The sequence below is a fragment of the Homo sapiens genome, chromosome X (assembly GCF_000001405.40).
Source record: "Homo sapiens chromosome X, GRCh38.p14 Primary Assembly".
Taxonomy (NCBI): Eukaryota; Metazoa; Chordata; class Mammalia; order Primates; family Hominidae; genus Homo; species Homo sapiens.
The window spans coordinates 110,512,674-110,523,425 of NC_000023.11; the positions used below are offsets into that span (position 1 = coordinate 110,512,674).

Sequence of the window (10,752 nt, forward strand, 5' to 3'; positions counted from 1 at the left end):
AAAGTGGCTGAATAACATAGCAATTAAGAACATAAACTTGGTTCAAATCCTGTCTCTGATGCTTATCAAAAATGTGACCTTGGGAAAGTTAATTGACCTCTATGTAACCCCTGTTTTCATCTGTAAAATGGGGGATAGTAATGATATCTGTCTCATAGAATTGCTATAAAGATAAGACGAGTTAGCAAATGTAAAATGCCTACAACAATGCCTGGAACGCTGTAAGCATTATATAATTGTTGATTATTTCCTTGGATAAATTCAGAACCTAGTTGTAGTTCCTTATACTTAATTTCTATTTTGAATTACTTATGGAGTGGGGGCATTATGGGCACTGTATGTTTTTCAAGTGCTTTGTGTCATTGAAGAAAATTTTATTTAGACATTGCCCTGCTTCACAGTGTGTTGCTTGTTTGGAATACACTCCCTAGACAACCTCCGCCCTCTTAAGAGTAGCCCACCACATGCTTCTTCCTATTTAGAGGCAAAATTATCAAAGCCAACCTCAAACTTTCCCACACGTTAGTTGCTCTTTCTTCCTGGGCTTTCACGGCACTCTATTTACCACATTGTGTATGTGGATATTTCATTCACTAACCCAAGAGCTCTTGTCTACATCTTTGTAACTCCCAGTGTCTTGTACATGGTAGCCTTTCAATAAACATTGGTTGAATTGAAGCATGCATTCAGTTACAGTCAATGCAATGGTCTCATTTCACTTTAATTTTTGCCACAACCATGCAAAATAGGTATTAGTATTCCACTTTATAGATGAGGAACTGCAGATCAGAGGGCTAAGTGACATGCCTAGATTTACATAAGAAAACAAGTAGTAGATCTGGGGTAGAACTCAAGTATGCCCATCCATTTTCAAGTCAATGGCTAACCTATTTTAAAAAGTAAACACTATGGCAGTGTATTAGTCCGTTCTCACACTGCTATAGACACTACCTGAGACTGGGTAATTAATAAACAAAAGAGGTTTAATTGACTCACAGTTCCATATGGCTGGGGAGGCCTCAGGAAACTTACAATCACAGTGGAAGGTGAAGTGGAAGCAGGTACCTCTTCATAAGGTGGCAGGAGAGAGAAGCAAGCAAAAGAGGAACTTGCCAAACACTTACAAAACCATCAGATCTCATGAGAACTCACTCACTATCATGAGAACAGCATGGGGGAAACCGCCTCCACGATCTAATCACCTCTCTCCCTTGAGATGTGGGGATTACAGGTCCCTGCTTCCACGCATGGGGATTACAAGTCAAGATGAGATTTGGGTGGGGACACAGAGCTGAACCATATCAGGTAATGCAGAAGGACTTTTTGTTGTCAAGACCAGATCTCTGTTGCCACAAATTAGGCTCATTTTCTCTCATAGAATAATGAGAAATTTAATGTATAATAAATCATATAGTCTTTATAGTAATTTCCAAGTGTTCTACTAGTTAATTCCTGGCTAGCAGGTAGAATAAATCCTAAATCGTTTCTGGTCTATTCAGCCAAAATAGTTGACTATTTTTTGTGAACATGGTCTTGGTATAAGGAGAGCCATATTTGAAACACCGTTCATAACATATATCAGCATGCCTTTGATTGTGCAAATGAGTTTGCAATAGATGGAGTCTCTTTATATTAAGGCCTACTCTACAGGCACATGATTAAACTGAGTGTATTTGAAATGTCTTAGTGTTTCTAAGTTGTCCCAGCTTATGCAGATGGCTCCATAAACCAAGAGAGTTGAATTTCTAGTTCTCTGTCATTGAGGGATCATGGGCTTGGGTTAATGAATTGGAGTCACCAATTTTCCATCATGTCTGATTCATGAGCTCTGTCTAGATTGTTTCAGGCCTTCCTTATTTACCAAGGAGACTGTCTTCTGCTCACACAACAAAAGAGAGAAAACCTAATGAAAACTATGTGGAAAGTGAGGAGTTGTTTCTTCTTCAGATTTATTTTGGCTGTAGAGTACATGCACATGCTTGAGGGTGTGTTTTTGTAAACTTCCCTTCCCCTCCATCCCTAAGTTACTTAGCTGGCTTACCCCATGATTGTGACTAAGTTGGAACAGTCCGCTTGGGTGTGCCTTTCTCTTTCTGGAGAAAGTAAAGTAGTAACAGGATCAGATCATTTTGACTTGAGGGAGACTGCAGTTGGGGTCGTTCTCACATTGTAACTCCTTCTCCTTGGTATAGCAAATCCTTTGTCTCCTAAGAGCCTTCACCTTTGAGTGTTTGCTAGGATATCAGAAGACAGTGAGAAACAGAAGTTTTTGTTTTCACAGGGACTAATGTTGGATTCTACAAACTTTGGCTGCATGTCTAGGATCCAGTTGTTATTTGTAGGGCACAGTTGAAAATATGTCCCAATAGAAAAATCTCTAAGCATATGTACATGTTTCTTCACCCATATACATCTATTTTGTATTTTAAATGTGGTTTGGAGTTGGTCTGCATACTTATTAGTCGCTAAGAACCCTGAAGAAGAAAGTATAACATTTGTACATTCACAGAAGTTTAAGAAAAACTCAACAGTTTAATTCACACCTCAAAAGGAGTTCTTTTAATGACTGTTAGTTACTCCTTTGGCTATTATAACTATAATCTACATTTTCAAATCTCCCTGTAGGCCTCAGTGCCCTGTGCCAGGGTCCCAGATACTCTCAGGTTTTTTCTTGCCCAAGTTCTTTCAATAAGGGGAAGTCAGACTTTGTTTCCAAGCTTCCTTGAGGTAATTTTCCTTCTTTACTTTTCTTTCACCTAAATTTTTTTCCTTCCAGAATTGGACCTATGGATAAGTAAAGGAAGTAGTTTTCTGCTGTGATTTCAGAAGTACCATGTGAGGCACTGACCAGAGAGTCCCACACAAGGATTTCCAACTGATCAATCTCAACCTCCATTGTAAGAGCCAGACCTACTTTCTGAGATTCTTTCTTTCTTTGCAGCAGCAGGGCCCAAAGTTTCTGTCTGCTTCCCTTTCCTCCATAGCTGACTTACTTGGACTCTTTCTGCCCAAACTTGATTGCAGAGTGACTAGCAATCTTCCTGGTGCCTCACCTCTGCTGCTGTTTCTAACGATAAGTCTATAGTCCATTTGGGGGTCCAGAGCAGAGGTCTGTGAACTATGCTTCACTGTCTAAATTTGAGGCCACTACTTATTTTTGCAAATAAAGTTTTATTAGAATACAGTCACACTCACTGGTTTATTTGCTATGATTGCTTTTGCATTATAATGGCAGAGGTGAGCAGTTGTATAAAGACTTTGATAGTCTACAATGTCTGAAATATTTACTGTTTGTCACTTAGAAAGTTTGCTGATCCTCGCTCTAGAGGTTTGAAGGCTAATCGCTACAGGAGAATAAGCAGGGGCATAGGAAGGCTAATCACTGCAGGAGAACAGACATGGGCCAGCACAAATAGCAAACATGGAGCCAAGTTGTAAAATTTAGAATTTCTTATGTCACGGTTTCTGATAAACAGTTTCTGACTCCTAAAATAGCAAATCCAAATCCAGATGGGCTTCAGCTGGCTGCTTTCAATTCTGCAGGTGAGCCTCACCCACTACTCCATATCTTTGTTTTCTCTCAGAGGTTAGGATGAGCAGGCAGATTCAGTTCTATAAAAATCCATATTCCCAGAATATAGTCTCAAATTGCAATCTAGGTAAAACATTCACATTACACAAAGTAGGTAATTTGTGTCTCTGGGACTCCTAGACTTGGTAACACTTAGGCTTTTTCTTACTTTCTGCACCTTCCCCTCAAATCCATCCAGAAATACATTTACATATATTTACATAGTTATTTCTTTTATTAGATTAAAATGTAAGAGTGCTCTGGAAAAGGTTGACATAGTTAGCCAATAATACCTTGGTTTGATTCTTTTTATTAGTTTCCTGTCAGAGGGCAGGACTCTGAGTATCACATGCTGTTTGCTTTCAAGTCTCTGTTGTCTCTCCTTCCCAGAACTGAAGCTGCTTGACTCCTTCCAGCAGGCTTCAGCTCTACCCATTCTCTGGGACCAATCCTGACTATGGTCAGAAAGGACCAACAGTCACCTAGTCTAATGTTCTGGAAAAGGGTATTAGGTTAATCTTGTTTTAGGCGAGACCTGACTTTGTGTTCCAGCTCTGTTATCTTCCCTTCAGCCTTGTTTCCTGATTGTTCATTTTGTCTTAACGATCTAGTGCCCAGTTCCACTTTGTCTATGTCCTCTTGGCATAGGAATCCTGTCACATACACATTGCCCAGTGGTTGGGGCCCTGCTATTTGCCAACATATTGCCTGGATGTTGACTTTCTACTTAGATTTTCAAGTGTCACTCATCTCTGGATAACCAGTTGCTGTATTCTGTTCAGCCATGGGGATACCCATTATTTCATTTTCTATCCCTCAATGCCAACTACTGGAACATTAAACAAATGGTTGTTGAGGCCCTGAAGAATGAGGTTTTTGCTCTCATTTTTGCTCTCTCGTTCTTAGAAGCCAACAATGATTCAATATTTGGGACGTCTGTGTCCCTAATGGATATCTCTGGGCCTCCCCACAGTGGATGAGAGCCTTGGAGATCCAAGAACACCAACCTTGGCTGAGGAAAGAAGTATCATATAGTCCATGAAAGCTCATAGAAACTTTGACTCATCTGACCTTTTTGTGGCTGACTAACGTGATTTTCATGGCTATTTAAAAATTTCTTCTGTTTACATTCTTAGTATAATTTTTGCTTGCCTTTCTCCCTTTCTTTTAACTTTTCTTTTTTTGATATTTGTGCACTTTGACTCTGATAACTGAGAAATACGGTGAAGACTTCTGCATGAGGCTTTACCCTCTCGGATGGGTTAACCCTTGCATGAGTAGTAGGGTTTTAACTTGGAAGCCCAAAGAGGTCAACCTACAGCCCTAATATCTGCAGAATCTTAACCATGGTATCCAGAAAAGGTAGTAGGAACAGGAGACAGAACCCTGGTTGGAGAACAAGAACCATATTTTGTCTTTTAATAAAGCAGTGCTTAACACAATTCCTGGTGTAGATTATGTATTCAGGAAAGCATCTGTTAAATGAATGAATAACTGTATAAAATTTTAAAATACTGGTTTAGCCCGTTCTTCCAGTTAATATCTGTAGGTTGTCGTTAGCAGTGGGTTTTTTTTTTTTAAATCAGGGTAGGGGGAGGTACAATACTCATCTGACCAACATAATTAATCTTTATCCCTGTATTTCCCCAACACAGCCTGTGATAAAACACAGCCTGTGCAATTAAACATTTGAATTTCTTCCTAAAAGAGAGTTGTTTTAAGCCATACCAAACCTGAAAACTTTGACATGAGGTGACAGCTTATATTTATAGCATTCAATAAAATTCCCTGCTCTAGAGGACATCTCTTCCCATAAAGACTCAGATGACATGAGGGTGAACTAAGACAGTAATAAATAAAAACTAGCTTGTGTTTTCAACATAGCTCGAGTTCGTAAGGCACAGTGTGCCTGGCGTTGCCAGATGGATCAACCCTACAGTAGTGCACTGTTTCTGATTCCTATCAGCTACACCTAGTGTGTTGTAGCTGTGGTGCAGCTCAGAGCAGGTGGAAAAAAATTTCCTTCTGTCTGTTCAGACATCATCTCAGCCAGATTTAAGGTGCAGTGACTCTTTATCATCTTGGCTTTTTTGAGCTATTGATCCTTTCTTTATAGATGAGAAAACAGACACAGAGATGTAAAGTGATTAATTAATTAGTCACCTAGCTATATCAGGGACTAAACTTGAATATGACTTTCCTGGTTCTCCAGTTCAGAGTTCTTTTATTCCCCAGGCTGCCATCCTGACTGTGGTGACACCGCTTATATCACTGGGCTAGCTTGGCTCTTATGGCAGGCACTCTCACCACAGAGATTTTATATATGTTTGACATTATAACCACTGGTTGAAAAGAAGGAAATAATGGCCCATAAATCACAGTCACTTAACTGATTGACTATCCAACCAAAATGACTACATGTACATGTGAACAAAGAAAACAGAAATTATCACCCTTCCTCCAAGTAGACACATCTGTACAAATTTTCCATGTAGGATGAATCAATTTAACTAATTGTGCTGGGATATGATTTATCAGTTTGGAAAGCAATACGATATATTTTATGTTTCCTTAAATTTGTTTCAAAATAATTCTGAGGTTTTTGCTCTCATTAAAATCCTATCTACCTACAGAAGAGCCTTCAATGATCTCTTACTGACACATTAGATGATTAACATTTATTGTCACCTATGTGAAGACATTCTTGTGTGCGTGTGTGTGTAGAAGAAAAAGTATTTAATGAGCAACATAACATATATCATTCCTGCCATTGAGCACTTTATAATCAAATTAGGGGGGCAAAGCTAAGACTTAAGAAACCAGCATAGAGCAATACAAGATGTATACAGCTAAATGCTAGTGTGAGTATTATTGATTATGGAGAGAGATGGCCTTAGTCTGAGGCAGTCAAGGAAGGTTTTTCAGGAGACAGAGAACTTGATCTAGGTTTTGAAATGTATTAGGATGTTCATAGGCAAAGGAAACAGAGGAAAATAATTCCAAGTAGAGAAACAGCACAGGAAATATAGGAATTAGAAGCATAAAAGTTAGAAGGGCAACAAGACAATCAGTATAAATGAATCAGAGAGTATGTCTGTGGAGGGGTAAGCTCAGCCCAAACTCCTTTGGCTAGCATTCAAACCCTACTTTACCTGTCTCATAAAGTCATGATACAATCCAGTGACTTTTCTTCTTCCCAAAGAATAGGCCAAAGACCATTATCCTGATTAAGTCCAACATCCTAGTGGGATACCTTCCTTCACACATGTGGGAAATGATCAAAATTAATTGCGTTTCAAAAATTTAGTGGTAACTCTACCAAAGCCTATTAAATCAGTGTGAGTACTCAAAGAGCAGATGGAAAACATTGGTCCTTAAATGACTTTTTTTTTTTTTTTTTTTCTAGAATGAGCAATGTTGTTAGGGATCATAGGGAAGGTCATGGAAACAGTTTTGGAAACTTTGCTTGCAGGAATTAATTGCCTTCAGTTTCGAAAGGGCCTATTTCTTTCTCATTTACAGTCAAAATTTGGTGAAAGGGAAAAGTTGCTACTACATAATGGCAGGAAAATACCCACTATTTCATTCTCTAAAATAGGTGGAATTGATCCATCTCTTTGGCAAGCTGTATGTGCCGTAATGTCTGGGGTAACTTTTTCCCTGGTGCCCCCATTACCACTTCAGATCCTTTGTTAAGCAAACAATATAGGAGCTTTCTTAAAACGGGGCTCTGAGTGCTTATTCTCAAATAAGCCCTGCCTCAGTTGCAAGGTCTTTCATCTGAAGATGACCTATCTTACATGTGTGGGAATACATTTTTCCATGATTACTTCAACAGCTGCATTCTGATAATCTGCCTGGGGAATAACTGTTGATGGATAAAATACAGTCAGCTCATCTCGCCAGTGAATAATGTGCTTTCTGGTTCTACCACGTGAAAATGAACTGCTCAGATCCTCTTCATCTGGAATAATTTCCAGGGAAGAATGAGTGACTGAAACTGCTGACACTTTCAGAATAAACCCTTGATGTCTTTGACAATTGCTCCAAGTGATTTGTTTTGGGATAAGCTTGCGCGCCATGTAAGGTAAAGTGACTGATTCTATAGCAATCCAATTGTTCCTTTGTCTGCCCGTTTACATATAACAATGTTGTCAATGTTTGATTGAAAATACCTAGCAGGCGACACACACACCTAGCTCCTCAGGCGGAGAGCACCCCTTTCTTGGCCACCCGGGTATCCCCCAGGGGGAGTACGGGGCTCAAAACACCCTTTTGGAGAAACAAAGGTGGAAGCAAATTTCAGGAAGTAAAACTTCCTGAAATAAAATAAAATATCGAATGCCTTGAGACCCATACATTTTCAGGTTTTCCTAATTAAAGCAATTACTTTCCACCACCCCTCCAACCTGGAATCACCAACTTGGTTAGAGAAACTGATTTTTCTTTTTTCTTTTTTTTTTTCCCAAAAGAGTACATCTGATCATTTTAGCCTGCAACTAATGATAGAGATATTAGGGCTAGTTAACCACAGTTTTACAAGACTCCTCTCCCCGCGTGTGGGCCATTGTCATGCTGGTGGGCGTCCCGCCCACCTGAAAGGTCTCCCCGCCCCGACTGGGGTTTGTTGTTGAAGAAGGAGAATCCCCGGAAAGGCTGAGTCTCCAGCTCAAGGTCAAAACGTCCAAGGCCGAAAGCCCTCCAGTTTCCCCTGGACACCTTGCTCCTGCTTCTGCTACGACCTTCTGGGGAACGCGAATTTCTCATTTTCTTCTTAAATTGCCATTTTCGCTTTAGGAGATGAATGTTTTCCTTTGGCTGTTTTGGCAATGACTCTGAATTAAAGCGATGCTAACGCCTCTTTTCCCCCTAATTGTTAAAAGCTATGGACTGCAGGAAGATGGTCCGCTTCTCTTACAGTGTGATTTGGATCATGGCCATTTCTAAAGCCTTTGAACTGGGATTAGTTGCCGGGCTGGGCCATCAGGAATTTGCTCGTCCATCTCGGGGAGACCTGGCCTTCAGAGATGACAGCATTTGGCCCCAGGAGGAGCCTGCAATTCGGCCTCGGTCTTCCCAGCGTGTGCTGCCCATGGGAATACAGCACAGTAAGGAGCTAAACAGAACCTGCTGCCTGAATGGGGGAACCTGCATGCTGGAGTCCTTTTGTGCCTGCCCTCCCTCCTTCTACGGACGGAACTGTGAGCACGATGTGCGCAAAGAGAACTGTGGGTCTGTGCCCCATGACACCTGGCTGCCCAAGAAGTGTTCCCTGTGTAAATGCTGGCACGGTCAGCTCCGCTGCTTTCCTCAGGCATTTCTACCCGGCTGTGATGGCCTTGTGATGGATGAGCACCTCGTGGCTTCCAGGACTCCAGAACTACCACCGTCTGCACGTACTACCACTTTTATGCTAGCTGGCATCTGCCTTTCTATACAAAGCTACTATTAATCGACATTGACCTATTTCCAGAAATACAATTTTAGATATTATGCAAATTTCATGACCCGTAAAGGCTGCTGCTACAATGTCCTAACTGAAAGATGATCATTTGTTAGTTGCCTTAAAATAATGAATACATTTCCAAAACGGTCTCTAACATTTCCTTACAGAACTAACTACTTCTTACCTCTTTGCCCTGCCCTCTCCCAAAAAACTACTTCTTTTTTCAAAAGAAAGTCAGCCATATCTCCATTGTGCCCAAGTCCAGTGTTTCTTTTTTTTTTTTGAGACGGAGTCTCACTCTGTCACCCAGGCTGGACTGCAATGACGCGATCTCGGTTCACTGCAACCTCCGCATCCGGGGTTCAAGCCATTCTCCTGCCTCAGCCTCCCAAGTAGCTGGGATTACAGGCATGTGTCACCATGCCCGGCTAATTTTTTTTGTATTTTTAGTAGAGACGGGGGTTTCACCATATTGGCCAGCCTGGTCTCGAACTCCTGACCTTGTGATCCACTCGCCTCGGCCTCTCGAAGTGCTGAGATTACACACGTGAGCAACTGTGCAAGGCCTGGTGTTTCTTGGTACATGTAATTCTACCAAGGTCTTCTTAATATGTTCTTTTAAATGATTGAATTACATCTTCAGATTATTAAAGACTAATTCTAATGTGGACCTTAGAATACAGTTTTGAGTAGAGTTGATCAAAATCAATTAAAATAGTCTCTTTTAAAAGGAAAGAAAACATCTTTAAGGGGAGGAACCAGAGTGCTGAAGGAATGGAAGTCCATCTGCGTGTGTGCAGGGAGACTGGGTAGGAAAGAGGAAGCAAATAGAAGAGAGAGGTTGAAAAACAAAATGGGTTACTTGATTGGTGATTAGGTGGTGGTAGAGAAGCAAGTAAAAAGGCTAAATGGAAGGGCAAGTTTCCATCATCTATAGAAAGCTATGTAAGACAAGGACTCCCCTTTTTTTCCCAAAGGCATTGTAAAAAGAATGAAGTCTCCTTAGAAAAAAAATTATACCTCAATGTCCCCAACAAGATTGCTTAATAAATTGTGTTTCCTCCAAGCTATTCAATTCTTTTAACTGTTGTAGAAGAGAAAATGTTCACAATATATTTAGTTGTAAACCAAGTGATCAAACTACATATTGTAAAGCCCATTTTTAAAATACATTGTATATACGTGTATGCACAGTAAAAATGGAAACTATATTGACCTAAAAAAAAAAAAAAAAAGAAAACACCTAGCAGGCAAGGAACATGCTCTTCAGAACTCTGCTCTTCAGAGTTCCAAAGAAGGGATAAAACATCTTTTATCACCATCAAAATAGCCATAGAGTTGCTTGAAGACACATTTGGGGCAATGTGATTCACTGTATCTGGTTCCAAATTCCAGATAGATATGGGAGTTAAATAGGAAATTAGGAGTTAAATAGGAATTAACTAAATAGGAGATGAGGTTAGAAGGAGGAGAAAATATTTAGATATTTCTTTTATTGGTTTATATGTCAAATTCTACCTGGAACCAATTAAGAAAAAGGTAAGTCCCTTTGTTTATGCAACTGGATGCAGATTTGGAGAGCGGTTGAGTTTCAAACAGAAGTAGTCCTTACATCCAATGGTGAAATGGTATTTATATATTTAGTGGTACGAGTTAAGGTTGCTTTTCCTCTAAAACAAGGATTCTCAACCTAGTGGAGAGGAGGAATTGCAATAGGTAGAATCCCTAAGCCCTT

The 10,752-nt window shown here is 40.2% G+C and overlaps 1 protein-coding gene across 1 annotated transcript, besides 1 other annotated feature; it reads left to right on the top strand.

The window, feature by feature from the left end:
- Positions 7,299 to 8,295: an enhancer, noted in NCBI's record as "OCT4-NANOG-H3K27ac-H3K4me1 hESC enhancer chrX:109763200-109764196 (GRCh37/hg19 assembly coordinates)". NCBI's record gives its function as "activates a minimal SCP1, AML or CMV promoter by ChIP-STARR-seq in naive H9 embryonic stem cells {active_cell/tissue: H9 hESC(naive)}" and the evidence as "EXISTENCE:reporter gene assay evidence [ECO:0000049][PMID:30033119]".
- CRIPTO3 (cripto, EGF-CFC family member 3) lies at positions 8,223 to 10,348 on the top strand. Its single transcript, NM_001397362.1, has one exon. It carries the CDS (start codon positions 8,457 to 8,459, stop codon positions 9,021 to 9,023), a length of 567 nt encoding a protein of 188 aa, NP_001384291.1. The 5' UTR covers positions 8,223 to 8,456; the 3' UTR covers positions 9,024 to 10,348.
- Positions 10,349 to 10,752: the final 404 nt, after the last annotated feature.